We start from the raw sequence: 25,871 nt of genomic DNA, 5'->3' as shown, positions 1-25,871 counted from the left end.
TAGAGTAGACAAACTTCAGGTTCTAAACTTGACATTGCCGTTACATATGCAGCTAGTCCTCAGAAAACCACTTGACCATATAATACCTCTATTTCTTCAACTTTTAGAGAGGAAAAGCACAAGGTTTAGAGGGATTGTATAAGATTATGAATAGTATTTTAAAAATTGTATACCAGTACACACGATTATTATGTTATGAAAAAAGCATGCAATATGGAGTCAAATAATTTTTTTGATGAATACACAAGTTTGAAAATAAAGTTTTATTATTTATGGTTTTGTGAAAAGGAAGTCAAATTATTAGTCAAAGTTATCTGAGTGTACATCTTTTATAAATAAATGGCATAACATGATTTTCAGTTCTGGTCTAGAAAAGTAATCACAAATGTATTTGCTTTTTTTCATTTCTATAAAATGAAGGTATAAATCACATAAGGGAGAAACTTATTTGTATCAAAGATAATGGATAAAGATTGAATATCTTTAATATGAAGAAAAATGATTAAAATCAACCAAACACTGAAGCCAATAGGAAAAAAATGGGCAAAGGACATAATGGATTCTTCCAAGTTCATAATATTGAGAGAGTGGTGTGAGACGGGCAACTTAAATATCATTGATATGGTTGGTTGCCTGAAATCTATATAAAAAAGACATTAATCTTTCACATCATTAACTGTGGTAGTTTCATATTTAGGAATTCCTCCCAAGAAATGAGAAATAGGAAAAAAGAAAAAGTAGGACTATAAACATCATATCATAGGATATGATTAAATAAGTTATGACAAATTCATAAGTTGTAATAAATGCAGATATTAAGGAAATATATTAGAAGATAATGGTGAAATGTTCTTTATTTAAATGAATTAGGAACAGTATATACGGTATATATTAGTGATATAGTTGAATGCAAATTCTATAATAATCTGCATTCAAATACGTAGTCATAGAAAAAATTCTGAAAGGAAATGCAAGAAAATGTTAATAATAACTATTTGTAGGTAGTAGAAATATATGTAATTTATATTATCTTTCTTTGCTGTTTTCTAAAATACTGACAAAGGCCATGAATTGAATTTACAATTAGTAAGAAACAACAATTTGTAACTATAAATTCTGAAATAAAGTGCAGCTATTAAAATATTCTACCTAAGCTTTGATACTGTAAAATGCAAATTACATTTCTGTAAGCACTCCTATGCATGAGTTCTTGGGCACTCGTGCCTATGAGACAGGTGTGCATATACACACATACACAAATTGTGCATGACACAATGACATAACACTACACATATTTATGAGGACTTGAAGAAATAGGCCTAATTAGTGTTATTTTATAAACATGTATATCTCAACTTCTATTTACTGAGTTTGTCTAATAGCCTCATACAGGGGTTGATAAGGTTATATTCTTATAGGGATACAGGTTATAATTCTGAAATGGCTTTATGTTTGTTGTGGGGTTGAATGAATAAGTAAACGGATGTTGGATGGAGACAGCCATGTTGTTCACACCCTCAGAGATGGAAGTTACAGAGAAATAAAAAAGGAAGACTAGAATGTACTACTGGATAAGGGTTGGAGACATAAACAGGAATTCATGTTTACCTTAATATATAAACAGAGGGATAGATACAGACATAATTTTATACATATATGTGTGTGTGTGTGTGTGTTACCTAACTCTGTGCACTAACATGGCTTTGAAGCAATGAATCTCCAGTAGCAACAAACATAAACAGTATCCAGATTTTCATTTATAAATACCATTCTCCAATAAAGGGAACCAGGGGTCCTTGGAGAAATGGTTGATTGCAGGTGTAGGCAAGGAAGTACAAGATGATCCAGGAGCATCTTGAACCAGAAAATAAAGAAGTGCTCAAGGAACAAAATGTTGGGGACTGTGATCAAAAGGACATAGGCAACAACCTGAAAGAACTTCCACCAGGCTAGATGGCTCACACCTGTAATCTCAACACTTTGGAAGGTCAAGGCAGGAGGATCACTTAAGACTTAAGCTGAGGAGTTTGAGACCTACCTGGGCAACATAGGCGGACCCTGTCTCTACAAAATAAAAAAAAAAAAAAATTAGCCAGGTGTGGTGGCATGCACCTATGGTCTCAGCTACTTGGGAGGCTAAGGTGGGAGGGTCACCTGAGCTGTGACGTGTCACTGAACTCCAGCCTGGGTGACAAAGTGAGACCCTGTCTCAAAAATAAATACAAATAAAAAATAAAAAAAATGAAAGAGCTCCCAATGGCTACATCTGAAAGAATCTGAGCAACAAAATAAACAGCAGAGTGTTGGATTACAACCTAAAGTTATATAATATACGTAAGTCCATAGCAATATAAATAAATGACTGAATAAATATATAAGTGAGAGAGAAAATACAAATGTGTTATCTCTGAAATATTTATGTAAATTTAAAAATATTACAAAATAAGTTTATTAAAATATTGTTTATAAAGAATAATAAATGTGAAATGTTCTAAATATTTTGCTAAATGAATAAAAGCAGACTAAAAAATGAAATAGACAATATGATTCCAATTTAGAAAATAAAAAGGAAAACGTACCAAACAAAAAAAACTACAGCAAAACACAATTTCCTTTCTCAAAGACTGACAAATATAAAAATATTGAAAATACACTGGGTTGTTCAGGCTGTGTAGAAACATTCTGATATAGAGACATGTTGAAGTGAATGTATAATCGGCATCAATTGCCAGGAAAGGCAATACAACAACATGTGTTAACTGAAAATATACCTACCATTTTATCAAAGATTTCTCCTAATAATTTATCCTGCAGATGCTCTTGCATATATGGGAAATGGCATGTGCACATGATAGTTTACTGCAACATTTTTGATGATGTAGGCAATTTGTGCTGCATATAATCTAAATATCCAGTATTATGGACTAAAGCATGTCTACCCATTACAATACCACATAGCTGCTAAAAAGAATGATATGACTTTAGACATACTGATATGAAAACGTCTCTAAAACATGTTGATATGTTGTCTGGAAGAACAAAGGCAAGGTGCTGATAGTGTGACTATTTGGCTTGATAACAATATATACTTGTGAGCTTTCTCTCTGCCTCTCTCTTGCAAAGAAATTAGTTAAAGGTGTTTGTCTTCTGGGAGAAGTACTGTCTGATGGCAGATCGAGGAGCATAGATGAGTTACTTTCATTGTATACTGTTTTGAATGTGAATTTTGTAGATTGTTCATGGTTTATCTATTTTAAAACCTGAAGAGTTCAACACAATCTCTCAAAAATGCAATTCATTTAACAAAGTTTTGATTAGTATTCTGCTAACAAGATAATCAATTGAGTTGACATTTTTACAAAACATTCAGAGGTTTTTAACAGCCTAAACTAATTAATTAGCTATGAACTGAGTTTAGCAGTTTATAGCCATTGGGAAAGGAATTATTTACCCTGGAGAAGAAAATGTTGAGACAGTGTTTTCATGTTATAAAGAGGTCACTGAACAGTGGTTAACCTGCTATTTACAATAAATCTGCATTTTTTCTCAAGTGGTTAATGGTCACAGAATATTTTTCTTAGGGGTGCATAGATAAGGCCAGGTATTAAATTAGTATGATTTGAAGAAAAGCAATATATATGACAAAAATATGTCCAACCTCATGAAAAGAAATTCATACTTAAAATACAATATACAATTTTTGCTTCTCATGGGCAAAAATAAAAATGTTCGATGTGGTATGCTGGTAAGGATAAAGATAAACTCTGGTGAACTACTGGTACAATTTCCATGGAGGGCAATTTAGCACTAAATGTTAGAAGTTTTTAAAATGTCCACATCCTATATCAAGAAAATTCTACATATATAAAAGAATAATCATTTGCAGTATTGTTTATAAGAATAAAAATTTGAAAATTTGCTAAATATCCAGCAATACTAACTGATAAAAGAAATAATGCTCCACCCATCTAATGGACTATTATGAATCCATTAAAAAATGAGGCAACTTTATATGTGAGAAAATAAAATGTCTTTGTGATATCACTATATTTCAAATAGCAAAGTACAGGACATCGTGTATATACTGCTCTTGTTTGTGTAGAACTTACAAGGAACTGACAGAAGTGCTTACAAATAAGGCTGGGTGCAGTGGCTCACACCTGTCATCCCAGCACTTCAGGAAGCCAAGGTGGGTATATCACCTGAGGTTAGGTGTTCGAGACCAGCCTCGCCAAGGTGGTGAAACCCCGTCTTTACTAAAAATACAAAATTAGCTGGGCATGGTGGTGCACACCTGTAATCCCAGCTACTTGGGAGGCTGAGGCAGGAGAATTGCTTCAACGTGGGACGCGGAAGTTGCAGTAAGCTGACATTGTGCCACTGCACTCCAGCCTGGGTGACAGGAGCAAAAACTCCGTCTCAAAAAAAAAAAAAAAGGGATACACAAGAAACTTTTGATAGTGGTTGCTCCTGAGGAGGGGAAATGGGTGATGGGAATGTGTGGGCAAGAGCAGAATGGAGACTTTTCATTACATACCCTTTAGTAATTTGCGATTTTGTAACATTACAGTTTTAATTAATAAAACTTGTGTGATTTTAGGCATTGATCCAATTCCATTATAGAAGTCATTCTTTCAGATTAAGATGTTCTTTCCAAAAATCTGACACACAATCAGCAATTTTAGTTTTAACTGCATGGAATTGTGAATGAAATAAAATCGAGACTAGAATTAAAGATAAGAAAAAACAGAAGAGGTGTGGAGGATGGGTGCCTATGGGACAGCAGATGCTTTTCTGGGGAGTCATGGGTGTCCAGTGGCATCTAAAGAGAGGGAGATCACCAACATGAAAATCACTGGTTTACCACTTACACTACTATGCTCTTGGCTGGTCCTAGATTGGAAATTCTTCTGAAGTACTTACAGGGCTCTTGCTGTTTGAAAGCACCTTCATGCTTTAGAATGCTTTTACTGTACATCCTATAGGAATCTATAGGCACAGGTGAAAGACTCCAGTGAAGTCTACGGTTCACAAAGAACACTCATTCTTTCATTGAAAAACATTAAATCTCATATTAATATCAATTTAAGGAAAACCATTTTATTTTGGACTTGGGAAGGTTAGATAGGGACTTCACCTACTCTTTTTCAATGTGTACAGATTTTTTGGTACCTTGAATTCTAAAACACTGTTTAACTTTCAATAGAAAGAAATCTAAAAGTTGCTAATTAGCAGTGTATTTTAATTTGTGAATTAAATACACAACCAACATTGGAAGACATCTTTCTTCTAATTAAATATGTCTTTTGATAGAGAAAATTTAGCCCAACATGGAAGCAGAGACTTTCATGAACATCTCGGATATTGGCAAGAGAAAATTCTAGAAAAATCTAGAAAAATGTGTCAATCTGCTGCTAATTCAGTATTTTCACTGGTATATGGTTTTAAGTGCAAGTGGAATATTTGACCAGAATTGGGATAATATTTTCAGGGCAAAAATAAAGAAAGAACAAAGCTGGGAGAAGAAGAGGCAAACCCAGGCACACATGAATGACTAAATCTGGAGAAGATTTTGTATATTTAGTTTGTCTTCTCAAAAAATCCTAACAGAATTTTCAAACGCAGCCTCCAGTAGGCTGAGTAATGACTCGACACTTTATTAACGATACCAAAAGCAGGTCTCATAAAAGTTAGGTTGCCATTTCCCTTCTAGAAGCCTTATGGCAGAGGTCACATTACAATCTATAATTTTTGTGGTCTAATGGCCATATCAGTAATTCCTAATATATTTTGGGCCACATTTAAACAATTTTACCTTTTAAATCATATACATATATATAATTATATATATATGTGTATATATATATATATATATATACACACACACACACACATATATGTTGGTAATGTCTATTTTCATTAATTTATAAAAAGTTAATATTGCTTTGTGTCTACAATATATCTTTCTAAATAATATATGTATGATTTTGAGGGTAATAAAATAAAAACATATGAATGATATGTCTTTTACCATGTAAATTTGCTTAGAAATAAAAAGAGTTATACAAAGCAAGTTCTAGGAATTACATAACATTGTGGTGCTCCTAGTTTTAAAATAATGGTAGTAGAGGCAGTGAGACTGTAAAGAACTGAGTGTCCTGTATTGTGATAGTAGCAAAATAAATTTGAATGATTTAGGAAAGGTGTAAGAAATTTGGCAATTTATGACAAAGGACTTGTACACATTCAAACATTTTAAAGTAACAATGTCAGTCTTTAGTATTACTAAAGAACCAATGAAAAATTAGGCCACATTTGTAGACAAAGATGTTCACTGTCATATTATTTCTAATATAAAAACATAAATTCCAAGATTTGGATAGTAGTTAGTTAAGTAAGTACATACCTAGAGTGGAAGATTATACAGCCATTAAAGTGGTATTTTAAAAAAACTGATAGAAAATAATCATGAAATGGGAAAAAGTAGGCTACAGTTTTGCCTGTAAAAGGGATCTTCAAGAAGATCAGGGAAAATATGTACTTTTTGCACTACAAAAAACTTTCACTCACTTGTTATAAGATCTCTGAACAGAATCTAGTTTGAGGCACTAAGAAGGATAAGACATGAGTTTTACAAGAGCTTCTATCAGAGCAACTTGAATTCTACTAAAATGGAAGCAAGAACAAACATCACGTGTATGGTGAAGCTTGGGTGGAAGAATGGCAAAATCACTGATGCTTTACAAAAAGATTATGGAGACAATGCTCCAAAGAAATCAGCAGTTTACAAACAGATAACTTATTTCAAGAAGGAAAAAGAAGATGTTGCAAATGAAGTCCACAGTAGCAGACCATCTATGTCAATTTACAAAAAAAAAAAAGTTAATCTTGTTTGTGCCCTAATTGAAGAGGATCAATGGTTAACAGCAGAAACAACAGCCAACACCATAGACATCTCAATTAATTCAGCTTATACAATTCTGACTGAAAAAGTAAACGTTGAGCCAACTTTCCACTTGATGGGTGCCAACCCATTGCTCCCAAATCAGCTGCAGATGTGAGCAGAGATTTCAACGGAAATTTTAACCAAGTGGAATCAAGATCCTAACGCATTTCTTTTAAGAATTGTAACAGGAGATGAAACATAGCTTTACCAGTATGATCCTGAAGACAAAGCACAATCAAAGCAATGGCTACCAAGAGGTAGAAGTCATCCAGGCAAAGCAAAAGCAAACCAATCAAGAGCAAAAGTCATGGCAACGGTTTTTTTGCGATGCTCAAGGCATTTTCGCTGTTGACTTTCCTGAGGGCCAAAGAATGATCACAGCTGCATATTATGAGTGTTTTGAGAAAAAGAGCCAAAGATTTAGGAAGAAAACTCCTGGGATGCTTCACCAGAGAGTCCTTCTCCACCACAACAATGCTCCTACTCACTCCTCTTATCAGACAAGAGCAATTTTGGGAGAGTTTTGATGGGAAATCATTAGGCATCCATATTACAGTCCTGATTTGGCTTCTTCTGAATTCTTTTTGTTTCCTAATCTTAAAAAAATGTATAAAGGGCATTTAATTTTCTTCAGTTATAATGTAAAAAAGACTGCATTACATGGTTAAATTCCCACAATCCTTAATACTTTAGGGATGGACTAAAATGCTGGTATCATTGCTTTAAATAATGTCTTGATGGGGTTTATGTTGAGAAATAAAGTTTATATTTTTATCTTTTAATTCCATTTAACATGAACTTTTCAAAGTATCTTTATGTATTTGATTCCATCTTTCATATTAATATATTTTTCTTTCTTTTCTTTTTTTTTTGAGATAGAGTCTTACTCTGTCACCTAGGCTGCAGTGCAGTGGCACAATCTTGGCTCACTGCAACCTCTGCCTCACCTCCTGATTAGCTGGAATTACAGGTGCCCACCACCAGGCCTGGCTAATTTTTGTATTTTTGGTAGAGATGATATTTCCCCATGTTGGCCAGGCTGGTCTCAAACTCTTAACCTTAAGTGATCTACCTGCCTTGGCCTCCCAAAGCACTGGGATTACAGGTGTGAGCCACCGTGCATGGCCAATATATTTTTCTTGTATAGAGAAAAGGAACAAAAGGACATGCAATGATACGATTACGTGTATTGGCAGGAAATGTGAATACCTCATATTTTCATTTAATTTACACTTTTATATATTTTCCAAATTCCCTACGGTAGCTACTTATTCCTGTTAAAAATGCTATAGAGTTATTAAAACAATCAAATATGTGAAAAGTAATTTAATATATACAATAAACCTAAAAACAGGTTGAGTTTTTTAACCTTACTTTTAATACACCAACAACTGGCTAATATGCAGAAAACATATGGCACATATAAAATATACTTCCAAAATCCATGTTGATGAGCAAAGATTTGCAATATACAAAGCAAACTGGATAAAATTAAATTAAATTTAATTGTTTATCTTAGTAAATGTATCTAAATGAATGTGTTTTTAAGTTTGGTATTGCTCAGTTTGATAGAATATTTATAGCAATTAAATAATGAGTCTTAATAATTGTTCTAGCAGCGGGCCATTTCTCAATTATTCTTTGCATTCTGCAGTTCTGATCTATGTTCAGTATGCCCGCCAATTCCAAGTGATTTCCAATGGCATGGAGCTAAAGGAGAAATGCGCTGAGTCCATATTCCATTTAAGTGTCCACTTACATAACTATATGTAACATCATATAAAATGATGATGCTACTGTCCAGTAGACAAGCTACATACTCTAAATTTACAAAAAAAAGAAATTGTATTTGTTTTCTTTACCTAAGAAGTGAAGCCAGCTTTGCCATGAGCTCTTCACAACTCATATCCTCATTCTCCTTTCATAAGAATTCCATTGGGGATCCAAATTATGGCCTTTGAATGGTTTTCTTCCACGTAAGACTAATTGCCTTATACAGGAATCAAACCTGCAATTGTAATCTCATTAGCACCATATTCTAACCAATGTGCTTCCATCAGTAGAACGTTGACCGTAAGTGGCTTTCAGGAAAAAGATACATTCCTGGGGTAAGGATAAAGTTTAAGGTTGTAAGGAAAGTACCAGGCATTAACTGTTTTCCTTCAAATGCACTGTAGCAAGTTGGCACACATTGAAGTTCTAACAAATAGAGGATGAGAACTTGATTCATTGACTGCACATCCCGAGACTTGGTTCTGGATTTGCATCTGAATAGACGCCCATCTTTCGAACAGAGATAAAACTTTGTAAGAACAGTTCCTGAGATGATGCTGATATCAGCTATTGCATGCTGAATTCTTACCAAATGATTTGCTTTCTGTTACCTAAATAGAGCAAATATTCAGTATTCAGTATTACTTGTTTTATTCTCTCACATTTTACCCTAATGTCTAAAATATTTTTCTTTTTCAGTTATTCTTTAAATCAATTTTTACATTTATTTCTTGTAAGACTTCATACTGTTTATGAAAGGGTCTAGTAACTTCAATATCTATTATTGTGAGCCTTTTGCCAGAAAGAATAAAATGAGTAGTTTGAATTTACATTAAGCTTAAGAAAATAATTTTCCATTTGCTGATTTTTGAATAAGTAAATAGGAGTCAGCTAAATTGGTTAGAATATGGTGCTAATGAGATTACAATTGCAGGTTTGATTCCTGTATAGGGCAATTAGTCTTATGTGGAAGAAAACCATTCAAAGGCCATAATTTGGATCCTCGATGGAATTCTTATGAAAGGAGAATGAGGATATGAGTTGTGAAGAGCTCATGGCAAAACTGGCTTTACTTCTCAGGTAAAGAAAACAAATACAATTTTTTTTGTTGTTGTTGTTGTTGTAAATTTAGACCAGGAAATCTCATGGCAAGGAGAGTTCACGGATATTGGGATCAAATGAGATTACACTGATACTATAAAATGTTTTTTATAGACTTGAGTGGCACACAATCAAAAGGATAGTTCATAAAATTAGAGTTAAGGATTTTATCCTACGATTGTTTGGGACTAAGCAATAGATTAATTTATGGAAACACCTGTGTTGCTCATACAACTCCAGCACTGTATTGTCTGTGGAATTATTCATAAACCTGTCAAAGAAAGTAAAAGTAGATAGTCATGGTAAATGGCAGAAGCTTATGTCCACTACAAAGCTAGTTTAAAGTTTCATTTTTAGTTGTCTGCTGACTGTTCAATCTTCAGAGAAACTTCCATTTCACCTTAATTAAATTAGATAATGCAATTCATGGGTTGTTTCTGGACCACTGCTCTTCTCACACTAATGGTAATCAATGAAAAAGATGAGGCTTACTTATAAAACAGAAAATAAAAAGTGCATATAAAATTTCAGAAAAGCAGTTCTTGATTACATGGGCAGTATACTAACTGGCTAAAATTGGTTAACAGTAGAAATCAGTTCAGTATAATAGTTGCTATTTTTTTTAACTCCTTCTTTACTAAAAACTATTTTGCTTTGAGAAGATTTTCTTGTAACTCCTCTCAACAAATTGTATCTTCATTCAAAAATACAAAAGCTTGTTTTGTACTTGACCTGAGGTTGCTGCTACTAATCTTTTAGCCCTAAAGAGAAAGGCAGGTTCTGAGTATTAGATTTCTTTCTAGATGCACTGAAAAAAAAACCTTAACAATAAAACCCCAAAGTAGCAAGTGATGTTTTAACAGAGAGAAGAAAATTCAACTGAGGAGAGTCTGCTTGTCTCTATTTCACAAAAATGATTCAAATATTCATCAAATATTTAATATATGTATACACCAGACTTTGTTTTGTTAGAGGTTCAGGGATTAGAAATGAAAAGCTCACAACAAACCAGTTCCTGACTTTAAAATATTTACAATCTTTTAATATAGATAACAAAGAAGCTTAAGTGTCATATATATATATATATATATACACACACAGAAGTACTTATATGTCATATGAGCAGGCAACCTATGTGGAGGCTGGTCACGGGATTGAAACATGAAGTAAATCTTGAAGAGCAAAAAGAAGTAATAAAGAGAGACAAAGGAATGCTAACTAAGTATGATCAGATCATTATGGCTGCAGCATTACATGTGTTTGTACTGGTTTCATAAGGCTATGATAGGAAAAATAAACATAGCAACAACAACAAAACAGCAACAACAAAATAGTAACAGTGGCTAAAGTTATATAGTTTCTATTTTGTGCCAGGCATCATTCTGAGCATCTTAACCTATATTAACTCATTTAATCTTCTCAACAATAACTTCTGAAAATAATACTATTATTTCTAATATTTTACAAATAAGTATATAGAGGCCTATAGAGTTTAAGTGACTTAAGTGACTTGCCAAAGGCAACCCAACTAACTATTGAGCTAGAACTTAAACACTTTGGTCAGAGTTGAGGATTAAAGAGGTAAGTATAATCTTGTATATCACAGTAAAGTTTGACATTAATTCTGAGGATGATATAGAAGAAATAAAAAACTTAAGCAAAACAAAAACAAAAGCAAAAACAAAACTCAGGTTTATATTTTAGAGAACTCGCTTAGGCAGAAGTGTTGAGGATGGCTTGTAAGGAAATGAGATACTGTCAGGGCCATTGGTAAGTTCTTAAATCAGTCCTAACAAAAAATCACAAGGGCCTGATAGAAAGCAAAAGGCAGATGACAAATATCTCTTAGCAGAAAAAAAATTATGTTGAAATTTGCAGCATTTCTAACAGAATCTTCTAGCTAGAGATAGGATCAGAGCCAGTTAAATTGCGGTGGTGGTGGGGGAGGCGTGTCTAAAAAATAAGAAAAATGGGAAAAACTACAAATAGGCAAATATAATTTAAAATGATGGTAAATTTTGTTCAGAAGACAAAACTGATTCTGCCTAATCCTTGCTTCAGAATAGTATTGCTAGAATACGCTGAATACATAGATAGGCCTAGAAAATTTAGGAAGGTTTGTGTTGTGACCTAATCACGTTGTTTTTTACAAGTCATTTGTTTGGCTGGAGTATTCTTTAATCATATAACATAAAAGTTACTTTGTAATAAAAATATCTTGATTGCTCAGTAAAGTGAGAAGATTCACTAGGTAAATATGTTCTGAAGAGGGTCTCAAATTTAAGTCATTACATCATGATTTTACAAAAAAGTTTTCAGATAAACTTGCTCTATGATGGGTGTCATTTCCTTAAGAAAATAAAGAAATTGAAGGTAGTTTAAGATCAAAACAAAATATACATATATATTCCATACTGACAAACAATAATGGAAGTGGCTTTATACTCAGTATAAAGACAAAATACTAGCAACACATCATCCCTGATGCTGTAATCTGTTGGCAGAGGAACTTTTCAGCATTTTGCTTTATGCTTCCCTATAATTTTATGGTTTATCAGTTGATGCTTAATCAGTAGGACTGTGTTAACTAACACTATTCAGTGGCTCATCATTAAGAATTCTTTTTCAAACTCCAACACAAATAGGAGGACAATTTGAAGTAAAGACCTTCTCCATCTGAAGTATTTGTTTCTTGAAGGATGCTTGATTGGCCTTAAGCATAGTGAATGTAATAATAACACTTGAAGTAGATATGTGCATCAGTTCTAGAGGTCTCTAGCTGAAATCTATATACTTACTTACCTCTAGAGGAAAATCTCTAATGTTTCTCTGAATTTTCCAAGCTATTTTAGGTTAGCTCCAGCTGAAAACATTATTTTTGTTTCCCAATATTATTTTGATGACTAAATGCTATATCATTGAAGATGATGACTTGTAAAATGAATGCATGAATGACAATAATTAAAAATAGACAAATTAGCTTCAAAATTATCAAAATATTTATACTCAATTTTTTACTAAACTTTTGGTCTATTTCTAAGTAAAACATAAAAATCATAATGATAATAAGATAATGATCATAACAAATTATAGTAGTTTATATTTATTAACCAGTTCCTATTACCTATTTTACATTTCACCTTTTCTTCATAACAAATTATAGTAGTTTATATTTATTAACCAGATCCTATTACCTATTTTTACATTTCACCTTTTCTTCATAACAACCTAATTATTATTTTCATGTTAAGGATGAAATGACTATGGCTTGGACAGTCTCAGGAATTTATCCATATTTCCAGTTAGAAGCCAGGATTAGCTGCTTGATTCTAAAGTCTACATTATTAATCATTATTCTGTGCAGTTTATTTGATGACAAACAAAAACTAAAACTGTATTAAACTTTAGTATATAGAATCACTAATACTTAGCTTGGCAGTTATTAGGTCTCAGCTCCAAATAAACTCATTTATACTTGGCTCTGATGCTGGGGCTGGGACTGTAAACTAACTTTCTCCTTAGCCATATGCATCCATTGAGATTCTTTCAATGGGGGACATTAAAGGGAGATTGCAAGGCAGGAAGACAGAGAAGGGATATTCTTCCTGTTCTCTTGTAGGATATTACAGCTGTCTGACAATCATCTAATGTTCAAAAATTAATGTCATTTTATTCATAGAAAACTGCAATGATTTTGCTTATTCAGTTCCAAACATTTTTCTTTTACAAAATGGGATAATCGAGATCCTCTTTAAAATGTGGTTTAAATGTCTTAAAAAGTACCTTGTAAAATATTTATTAATTTTGAAAATTATTTTAAAGTTTAAATCACATGGGGCCGGGTGTGGTGGCTCACACCTGTAATCCCAGCACTTTGGGAGGCTGAGGTGGGCAGATCACGAGGTCAGGAGATCGAGACCATCCTAGCTAATATGGTGAAACCCCGTTTCTACTAAAGATACAAAAAAATTAGCTGGGCGTGGTGGTGGGCGCCTGTAATTCCAGCTACTCAGGAGGCTGAGGCAGGGGAATGGCATGAACCCGGGAGGCGGAGCTTGCAGTGAGCCGATACTGCACCACTGCCCTCCAGCCTGGGTGACAGAGAGAGACTCTGTCTCAAGAAAAATAAATAAATAAATATACATACAAATAAAATAAACTACATGTAATAGGGAAAAGCAAAGTAGATAAGTTTATAGCAGCAGTAAAAATAAAACTGAAGAGTGTACATCTGTAAACCAGCAATTCTTTTTTATTCTTTTAAAAAATATGTAAACTCTTTTTATGATGGGTGTTTTCAACATACACAAAAATAAAAAAGAACAGTATATAATAAACCCATATCTTACACATAAGTTTCAGTAAGAGTTTGCTAATTTTGGTTCTTCTATTCCCATCCATACTATGTATTTTACTTTATTTACTTATTTTCTGAAGCTTTTTAATCCCTGAAGACATTTCACTTCTTTTCAACATAAAAGACAGTAACTTTTTAAACTATAGAATCTTTAATATATCTAACATTAACCATAATTTCTTAATGTCTTCTAATATCCAGTTGATGTTCAAATTTCCATATTGTCTCAAAAATGTCTTCTGCCATTGATTTGTTCACATTAAAGCAAAATGGCCTACACTTGCGTTTGTTGTCCTTTGTATGTCTCTATTTCTTTCCTTTGTTTCCCCTTTTACAAAGTACAGTTACAAAGATCGTAAAAAGTACAATTGGAAATCGAAGCTGTGATAGCAAGCATCCTTATTTTCCCATTCTCCATGTTAGGTGAAGAGATTTTAATATTTCAGCACTAAATATGAATAAGTGAGGTTATTTACTTTGTAAAATTTCTGTTATTTTATACATGGCTGATGACTTCTTCATGTGTCATTTAACTTCCCTGAGTCCCCCAAATTTTCTGTAAGTAGTTAGATCTAGAGGTTTGAGTGATTCCACTTTTTTTTTTTTTTTTTTTTTTTGTGGCATGAATACCCCATATATAGTGTTGTGAATTCTGTCAAACAGCAATTGTCTCACTGAATGTAAATATATTTAAATATTAAATAATAAATATTTACACAAATAATATATAAATATAAAATATAGGCTGGGTAGAATCATCATGCTTGTAATCCCAGCACTTTGGGAGGCTGAGGCAGGCAGATCACACGAGCTCATAAGTTTGAGACCAGCCTTGGCAACATGGCAAAACACCATCTCTACAACAAATAAAAAAATTAGCTGGGTATGGTAGCATGCATCTGTGGTCTGTGGTCCCAGCTATTTGGGAGGCTGAGGTGGGAGGATCATTTGAGCCCATGAGCTGTAGGTTGCAGTGAGCCAAGATGGCATCACTGCACTCCAACCTGGGCAACTGAATGAGACCCTATCTCAAAATATATATATATATGTATATATATATACACGTATATATATATACATATATATATATACACATATATATATACATATATATATACATATATATATACATATATATACATATATATATACACACACACATATATATGTATATATGCATGTATAATATAAATACAAAATACAAATATATAAATTACAGACTTGTATAATTAACATAAACAAAAGTGGGTTTATTTCAGGAAAGCATTGTTGGTTTAACATTATAAAATCATTCAATACATTTTATTATATTTATAGAATAATGATGAAAAATAGGATAATCTCAATAGACATATAAGAATTTGACAAAATTCAAAATGTATTCATAACTCATAGCAGCCTAGGAATATAAGAGATATGCTATAACTGATAAAGAATTTCTTTAAAAATATCTTTAGCAAGCATCATTTTTAATGGTGGAATACTGAATTTTTTTCAGCTAATGTTGGAAATGAGAAAAGGATGCTCAATATTACATTTACTTCAAATTATACTTTTACTGTGATACAAAGTGTGCCATGAATTTGACAATTTGCCCTCTATCATACTTCATTTTTCTTCATAGTACTTTTGAAGAAAATATTCAAATTTTCTAACTTCCTAACATATCATATATTTATTTTTATATCTCCTGTTGTCAGAATGTGAGCCCCAAGAGAGAAGGGACTTTGTCTTTTGTATTCATTGCTGTATTCCCCGTGCCTGGCACATGGTGGATGCCCAATAATAAATGTATTTTGAGAGTAAAAGTAACAAGCCCAAAAATGTTCTTTATATATTAAAATCTGAGTCCATCTTATTAGTTATTTTTTCATGAAATTCATTTTCATCTTCTATTTAGATGACATTTTTCTGAGTACATAATTTATGTAGAAAATTTGCAAAATACAGAAAAGTAGGAAAAGGAAAACCTACCATTCAGTGACAATTTCTTGCTAACATTTGGAAGACTTTCCTAATTAAAAAAAAATCTATGCAAAAATATATCCTTTTGGTATATCTAAAATTAAGCTGATTCTAAATCTATTTTATTCTTTTCTGTATTAGACTGTTTTCATGCTGCTATAAAGAACCCAAGACTGGGTAATTTATAAAGAAAAGAGGTTTAATTAATTGGCTCACAGTTCCACAGGGCTCAGGAGGCCTCAGGAAACTTACAATCATGGTGAAAAGGGAAGCAAACACATCCTTCTTCACGTGGTGACAGGAGAGAGAAATGAGTGTCCAGTGAAGGGTGAAGCCCCTTATAAAACCATCAGATCTCCTGAGAACCAAGAATTCCATATCACAAGAACAGAAGGGGGAAAACCATCCCAATGATTCGATTATTTCCATCTGGTCCCTCCCATGAGGATTATGGGAACTACAATTCAAGATGAGATTTGGGTGGGGACACAGCCAAATCATATCATTTTCCATATCGTTTTAATTACTTAATGGATGAATGAACACAATTTAACTATTTTCTCTCATTTGGCTGTTTTCAATATCTCCTTATTAAAGAAAACAAACACTACAACAAACATCCTTCTGTATATCCATGATTATCCCATAGAGCAAATTACTGAAATGGAAATTTCTAACTGAAATAGTATGCACATACTAAGGATCATGATTAATATTTTACTTTCTCTTTTTTTATTGATTCTAATATTGCTATTTTAATTTACATTTTTTATCTAGTCTCATTCACCTGATGATCACATCCCATCTCATAGCTTTAAATATTGTCTATATGCTAATGATTCCCATATTTATACCTATACTCCAGATATCTCCCTGAATTCCAAATTCATAAAGTTAATTATCTAACTGACATTTCCACCTGAATGCTTTAATTTGCATCTCAAATTTAAACTGTGCAAAATTGAGCTCCTATACTTCTACTCCACGGGAATTGCTCTTCTTCCTGTCTTTACCATCACAGTTAATGACAATTCCATCTTTCTTGTTTTTCAGGTGAAAACCCTGAAAATCATCTTTGATACTCTGGGAAGCCAAAGGTTAGCAGCAGGCTTGCAATTTGTTTGCCTTTGTAACACATCTGGGAAAGAATGAGATAACCCAGTTAGATTCCTCTGTAAACATGCCAATCACAATCCTACCAAACATACAAATAGTATTTACTAGTGGGGAGTTCTTATCTATGGAATGCTTTTAGCAGGATGTATCTGGTCTAGTCTAGGATAACTTAGGCTGGAAAAAAAAAAAAAAAAAAACAAAACTTGCAATCATGAATTTATAAGGCATGGTTCCATTAAAAAATCACATAAATTATGTAATTAAAAAAATATAACAAGAAGATGCTTCATAACTGAAATGACTCATTCTGTGCAAGCAATGTATCACATATATTTCTTAATCTCTCATGTTAAATTTGAACCAGAGCATGTCCTCATACATGAAGAAGACATTTTATGGAGAGTTACACCTGATGGTTTTACACCTTTCAAAGGGAAGAATGCTTGGCTCGTGTCTGACTACTACTTGTATCCATAATTTATTGGCAAATTTGATATTGGGTAAGACCTATAATTCATTGTGAGTCTGCTTTGATGATCTGACTTTTAATTTTATCTTTCAACATCTAATACTCAGCACTACTGGATTTCAAATCATATCTGCTTGTCTCCTACTTTTCTCGCTTCTCAGTACACCATTCTCATCTCTCTCTGGCACTTTCTTTTGTTTTCCAAATGCTCTCAACTTCCTTCATTTTATTCTCTACACAGCAGCCAGAGTAATAAATCCTTTAACAATGTAAACAGATCACGTCATTCCTTTGTTCTAAACCTTCCAAATGCTTCCCATCTCTCTGAGTTGAAGCCAAGTTCCTTTCAATGAACTGCAAAGTCTTTCCCCTTAACGTTGCTGATCTCATCCTCCATTCCTCTCCCCTAACTCACACTGCTCCAGCCACACTGAATGTCCTGCTCATTGACCATGCCAGGCATTCTCTCGTGTCAAGGTCTTTGTACCTCCTAATGCTTTTAGTTGGATTTCTGCATGGCTTGTTTACTGTCTAATTTACTTCAGGACTTAAGAAAAGGGCTTCTTCGGCCATCTTAATAAAATTGCAATTCTACCTCCAATACTTCTTATTCATCTTACCTATGTTGTTTTTCCCCCTTAGCAATTATCACCCTTTAAAATACCTATGTAGTCTCCTTATTTATTACACACACACACACATATGTATATATATAGTCTCCTTCCACTAGTGTTAAGCTCCTGAAACCAGAAAATTTTTATTTGTTGTTTATTATTATTTGTTGTTTCCAGATTCTACAAAGGTGCCTGATACACAGTAAGTGCTGAATGCATATGTGTCATTTCATTTGATATTTACTATGCATGAGGGTCAATTTTGTTATATGTCTATTAGCCATTTTACTTTATTTTAAATTAATTACTTATGACTTGGCTCATTTCTTTTCCTATGTGCTAACTTTCTACTATTGCTTAGTAAGAACTCTCTGCATAAGAATGCTATTAAATCTTTCTTAAATTGCAATGTATTTTTGCTCCAAAGGGACTGCTCTTCTCACTTCTTCTCAGTTAATTGACATCCATCCTTCCTGTCGTGAAGGTCAAAATCCTGAAACTTATCTTGACTCTTTGGGAACAAAAGGGTTAGCAGCAGATGCCCAATCTGTTTTCTCCCTTAACCCATTGGAAAAGGAAAAAAATAAACATATTAAATTCCTATGTAAACATGTTAATGACAATCTGCCAATGCATTTTTCTTCAATTTGTCATGTACCTTTGAATTTATTTTGGTGTACTTGGTGTACAGAAAGTTGAATGTGTGTTTGCTAAATTCTACCAAACTTTTCCTTTCTTTTTTTTTTATGAAAAGTTTAGAAAATAAATTGTACTTACTATGTATCATCTCCCAATTGTGTAATAACTTCATTTTTGTATTAAACTATTTAATACTTTTAACACATTTTGGTGTATGCCAGTCATTTCCAAAATTTGAGTATTAGAAACTCTAAAAAAAAAGTTCAATTTTAGAGCATAACTTTTAGTATTCATTGACTGAGAAAACACTATTAAGAAACATCTGGGTCAGGTGCAGTGGCTCACGCCTGTAATCCCAGCACTTTGGGAGGGTGAGGCAGGTGGATCACGAGGTTAGGAGATCGAGACTATCCTGGCTAACACGGTGAAACCCCGTCTCTACTAAAAATATAAAAAATTAGCCGGGAGTGGTGGCGGGTGCCTGTAGTCCCAGCTACTTGGGAAGCTGAGGCAGGAAAATGGTGTGAATCCGGGAGGCAGAGCTTGCAGTGAGCCGAGATCACTGCCACTGCACTCCAGCCTGGGTGACAGAGCAAGACTCCGTCTGAAAAAAAAAAAAAAAAATTAATAAAAATAAAAAAGAAAGAAAGAAACATCTGTGAAGTAAGAACTATTTTGAATAAATGGATTGAATGTATTATGTCCGCCTAAAGTTCATACCTTCAGATCCTAACCCCAATGTGATGGTATTAGGTTGTGGAGCTTTGAAAGTGAATTAGAGTTCTGAGAGTGGAGTCTTCATAAATGGGACTAGTGTCCTTATAAAAGGGACTCCCAGAGAGCTCTCTTGCTCTTTCTGTCACATGAGGACACAAAGAGAAGTCGGCAGTCTGTAACCTGAAAGTAGGCTCCACCATGATGGCACTCTGATCTTGGACTTCCAGCCTCCAGCATGGTAAGAAATAAATTTCAGTTGTTGATAAGCCACCTAGTCTATAGCACCTCATTACAGCAGCCTGAACTAAGACATTCACTAAGTACAAGGTTTTGTCATTAGTAAGACAATTATGATTTGTCTTGCAATGTTAAGACAATTATGGTTTGTCTTACAATGTTAAGACAAATTAAGTAAGGTAAATGTTCAATTACCAAATATAATAACTAAGGGCTTTATGCACATAGTTTCATGATCCCTTCACAATACGTATCTGTCTCTTGGTGTTGGTTAGCTACTAATATATATTAGTGTAATTTTCCCCCAAGTTAATAAACATTTGATCCATTAAGTTTCAGTAAAAAATTATTTTCATTCCAACTATTCTTTTCTTAATACCACCTTTATCTTATTCTACTTTTTTTTTTTTTTTTTTTTTTTTTTGAGACGGAGTCTTCCTCTGTCTCCAGGCTGGAGTGCAGTGGCGCGATCTTGGTTCACTGCAACCTCCAACTCCCTGGTTCAAGTGAATCTCCTGCCTCAGCTCCTGAGTAGCTGGGATTACAGGTGCGTGCCACCACACCTAGCTAATTTTTGTATTTTTTTAGTAGAGATGGAGTTTCATCATGTTGGCCAGGATGGTCTTGATCTCCTGACCTCATGATCCACCTGCCTCGGCCTCCCAAAGTGCTGGGATTACAGGCGTGAGCCACTGCACCCGCCCTCTTATTCTACTTTTTAATATTCACCAAGATCTGTTACTGGAATTTCTCCTCTATTCCACTCATCTTTCTGTTCTTGTGGCAGAACCACATTCTCTTAATAATGTATTTTTTTAAGAAATATTTGGCAAACTTTCTATTATTCTTTTTTATGTCAGTTTTACGGTTTTAGTCTTGACAAAACACACTATAATCATGCCCTTCAACTTTTAATGATTCTCCATTTTCTATTGAATAGAGTCTTCTTAGAGTGATAGCAGGGTATGTAAGGCTTCCATAGTCTTGTCCCACCTAATCTTTTAGGGTTCATGTTCTACTCACTCACTTTATACATGTTACATTCCAGTCAATGAAATTTGATGTTTGCAATGTATACCATTAAACATTCACCCATACACTTGTTCTAATTCCCCTGCATGGATTAACTTTCTCCACCATCCAAATCCAAATCCAACTCATACTTGAAGGCCAAGCAACATGATTATTTTATCTATGTGTGTATTATGCCACATGCTACTTATATTGTGGATATTTATTTGCATAATGTGTCTCCTGTATTAGAATATAAGGCCCTTGTAAATTCTAAGTCTTATTCACCTCCCAGAAATACTAGCACTTGCATGCCTGAATGACTGAGTATATGTAATGTTTGTCATAAATCATAGTATGTGGTTTTACTTCTTTCTTTCCTCACCCCACAAAGTTTAAAGTTTTCTTTATCAGCTCATCGAGTTTCCTACATAACACTTTTCCCTAAGCATTCACTTTATTTGCCATAAGTTCTATTTCTAGGGTGGTAATCTACTTTTCACAAAACCAAATTGTATTCTAAATCATCTTTTTAAGAAGTATTTAATTTTAGATAGTCTCCTTTTTGCTTCAAAGTCATTCATTCATTGAACAGATATTAAATCTCTACACATTGTACTCTATTATATGCCATTGATACAATGGTGAAAAATAAAGAGTCTTTAAAGACAACAATCACATCAAAAAATCTGCCAGCAGGGGCAGCACGACTTATATGAAAACAGAGGTGTGCAATGCTTGCTGTTGGTATACAGAGGAGGGAGAATCTACATTTGCTTTGGGGTATAAGGAAAGACATCATAGAGTTGTGTTGCTTGAACCATGAATGAACAGAATTAGTATCTCTGTCTTTTTTTTTTGGTGGAGTCTCGCTCTGTCACCCAGGCTGGAGTGCAGTGGCACGATCTTGGCTCACTGCATCCTCCACCTCCTGGGTTCAAGTGATTCTCCTGCCTCAGCCTCCCAAGTAGCCGGGACTACAGGAGCCCGCCACCACGCCCAGCTAATTTTTGTATTTTTGGTAGAGACAGGGTTTCACCAGGTTGGGCAGGCTGGTCTCGAACTCCTGGCCTCAAGTGATCTGCCTGCCTCAGCCTCCCAAAGTGCTGGGATTACAGGTGTGAGTCACTGTGCTGGGCCTAGTATCTGTGTCTTTAAGATCATTTACTCAGTAGAAAGAGTCTAGATTTTTTTCCCAGTTGTATTATTTTTTTCCCACTTGGATCTAAAATACATTTTTGTGAACAGGGTATCAATGATTTCTAGGTAGCTCTCCAACATGTCTTGAGTATGTGCTCAAACTCCACATACACTGAACACCTCATGATCAACTGCATAAGCTTTCCAAATATCTACTTTCATGCCCTCACGTAGGAAATAATTTACCTGTTCCTTAGAGTCTTTTCTCCTTAGAGTCTCTAATCACATTTCTGTAACTTGGCCATTGATAAATTTGTGAGTGTTAATATCAAGAAGAGGCGCTTTGAAGATGTTTTTTAGATTGTTATAGGCTTCACACAAGTCTATTGTTTTTAGAAAACCTACACTGGCTCTATCACACTTAAAAATACTCCTTTCTTTTGTTCCTCCCCTTTTATTTCTATTTAAAAATTTTTAAAGATTACTTTTTAATAGTTAAGACATCCACATGGTTCAAAATTTAGAAGATACAAAGTGGATTAAGTGAAAAATTTTCTTCTCATCTCTTCATTTTAATCAGCTCCACTACCCTCCAAAGATATCCAGCATAACCAGCCCATTGTGTAATCTTCCCAATACATCCTTTGTATACATAGATTCACCCATATTCCTTTGTATTTATTATACAGATGGTAGCATATCATACATGCTGATCTGCCCTTGCTCTGTTCACTTAATATATTTTGTAGATCTCTCTATATCAATACATACAGAACTATACACTGATTCTCTTTTATGGCTGTACATATAGTCATGCATCACTTAATAATGGAGACACATTCTGAGAAATGCATTGTTAGGTGATCTTGTCACTGAGCAAACATCATAGAGTGTACTTGCATAGACCTAGATAGAATAGCCTACTGTATATCCAGGCTTTATGATATGGTCTGTTGTTCCTAGGCTACAAACCTGTACTGCATGTTACTGTACTAAATACTATAGGCAATTGTAACACAATGCTAAGTATCTGTGTATTCAAACATTTCTAAACATTAAAAAGGTACAGTAAAAATATAATCTGTGAGACCACCATCATATATACAGCTATCAAAGACCAAACTGTCATGCAGTGTATGACTGTGTTATGTTGCACAGATGCATCATTTCATTAATCAGTCAGCTATCAATGAAGATTGAAGGATGCTACTCCTTTCTGATAAGTAATTTTCTTTTCACTTTTTATTTATCACTAGTTAAAGGGAAAAGAGGCATTTTCATGGTCACATAGTCCTATAATTTGCTTTCCCATGCAACCCAATCACAAAACAGATCAAAGCAGGACCTTTGAGGTGATTTATTTTGAGATCCTGAAAACTGGGTAGTGTTTGTTTTCATGGGTGACATATAATTGCATACACTATGTAATCTTGAGCTACTTATAACTAATTCTAGGCTATAGACTCTAGGCTAGAATTGTATCCATTCCAATTTAATGTTCTGTACAGTCTCAGGAAATGATTACCACTAAGTAAACAAGGCCAACTAAATAATAGAAGACATTCAATCTATGGGCTTGGCACAGAATTACAAAACTTCAATGTGATCAAGTATACCTTCTAAATTCTGAGAGTATTTTAACTTCTTCATGATTGGTAGCAATTAATCTGTTATGAAATTGTGCCCACTGCATATCTGCCCAGGAAGCCAGGAAGTTCTTGGTGTTGATGTGGTAGTTCTGTTGCTTGGTGGATATTGTTAAGTTTCTGTCTCCTTTACCAACCCAGCACTGAAGATGGGCAAAGTAAGGATTTAAAGAAAAGCTAGAAAGGAATTTGAAGCAAAAAAGACACCTAGAATATAAGAAAATATATGGGTCTAGTGTGTAAATGGAATCCATGCATACAGCAAAGATAACAAATTGCACTTGAAATTTTAATACAATGAAGGCAATGACCATTTCATAAGTGTTAGCAAGTGGATGGGCATCAAGGAATATGGAATGGCATTAGAGACCTCCTGTGATTTTTAAAATTGCAATTTAGAAAAAGAGTGCTCTGGAGTGAGGTGGTCAGTGCTGATATGAAGAATGAATAAGCTGTTCAAGAAGAGAAATTGAGTGGGCATTTTAGTTGAGGGAAATTTCTTGGAAATGCAATACTCAAGGGAAGAGTACGTTTGGTCAAAACGTAGAATTTGTGTCAGCAGGTAGTGGATAATGATGCTGGAAATGTAGGTTGGCGATCACATTTACTGTAAAGAGTTTTTAGTGTTAAGCTTCTTTATTTTGACATTATTTCATAAAATACATCAGTTATTGGAGGCTTTAGTCTAACAAGATGAAAGCTTAACAGTAAGCTTTTTCACTTTTTGCCAGTGTTCAGGAACCAGCATAAGCCTGGCTGTTGGTCAGGTGAAGGGAATCCTTGTGGTAGCCAGACACTCTGTAGATACTGATTTAAAGTATATGCACCCTTGAAATTTTCTCAAAAAGTCACCCATAAATACCTGTCAGGTATATTCACTGCTTGTAATAATTTTTATAATAGTTGAGTGAGTCCATGATTGGGTAGAAATGAAGGGAAAATTTAAGATGTTTCAGTGTGTCAATAATCTTAACTTTAAAAGTATCATGAAATAGTTTATATGTCATAAAGTAATAATACAGTTTGAATTTGTGTCTCTGCTCAAATCTCATGTCGAATTTTATTTATTTTTTATTTTTATATATATTTTTTGAGACAGAGTTTTGCTCTTGTCACCCAGGCTGGAGTACAATGCCGTGATCTCGGCTCACTGCAACCTCTGCCTCCCAGGTTCAAGTGATTCTCGTGCCTCAGCCTCCCGAGTAGCTGAGATTACAGGCGCCTGCCACCATGCCCAGCTAATTTTTGTATTTTTAGTAGAGACCGGGTTTCACCATGTTGGCTAGGCTGGTCTCGAACTCCTGACCTCAGGGATCCACCTGCCTTGGCCTCCCAAAGTGTTGGGATTACAGGCGTGAGCCACAGTGCCCGGCCTCATGTCAAATTTTAATCCCCAATGTTGAAAGAGGGGCCTAGTGGGAGGTGGTTGGATCATGGGGGTGGATCCCCCCCTTGCTGTTCTTGTAATAGTGAGTGAGATCTCATGAGATCTGGTTGTTTAAAAGTGTGTGGCACTTCCCCCTTTGCTCTCTTTCTCCTGCTCCAGCCATTTAAGATGTGCCTCCTACCTCTTCACTTTCCTCCATGATTGTAAGTTTTCTGAGGCCTCCCCAGCTATGCTTCCTGTACAGCCTGTGGAACCGTGATGCAAGTAAACTTCTTTATAAGTTTCAGGTAGTTCTTTCTAACAATGTGAGAACAGACTAATACAAGTAATAATTAAAATCCTATACATTTGTGGTCCTACAGGTTTTTTCAGAAAGCATCCAAGTGAATATATCCCTAGAATATTGTGGTTGCTTTTCTTTGGATATTCCCCTTACTTTCACTGATCTTTCTCCTGGGGAGTCACCCCTCTGACTATGTCAGAGGCTAGTCAAAAGGCATTCTGTTATATTTGCTCATCTTACCTTGTTCTTTTCTTTATCGCATTTCTCATAATTATAACTATGGAAAGATTGGTGAAATTTTTTGTTTAATGCATATCTGCCCTACTAAAATGTAAACTTTTAATAGCTTGTCCAGTGCCTTTCAGGAAACTTTCAGTGAATATTTGTTAAATGAATGAACGAACCACCATGGTCTTTTATTTTTCGTTTCCATTATAAAGAGATAAAAATAGGATGTAGAAGTTATGTAA

At 34.2% G+C, this 25,871-nt stretch overlaps 1 protein-coding gene across 3 annotated transcripts in view; it reads right to left on the bottom strand.

The window, feature by feature from the left end:
- Positions 1-25,871, bottom strand: part of B3GALT1 (beta-1,3-galactosyltransferase 1) — a 581,045-nt gene that overhangs the window by 346,183 nt on the left and 208,991 nt on the right. The gene's annotated exons all lie outside the window — the stretch shown is intronic.

This window comes from Homo sapiens, chromosome 2, assembly GCF_000001405.40.
Source record: "Homo sapiens chromosome 2, GRCh38.p14 Primary Assembly".
NCBI classification, from domain to species: Eukaryota; Metazoa; Chordata; class Mammalia; order Primates; family Hominidae; genus Homo; species Homo sapiens.
Note: the sequence above shows the minus strand (reverse complement) of the source record. Positions and strands in the feature narration are given on the sequence as shown.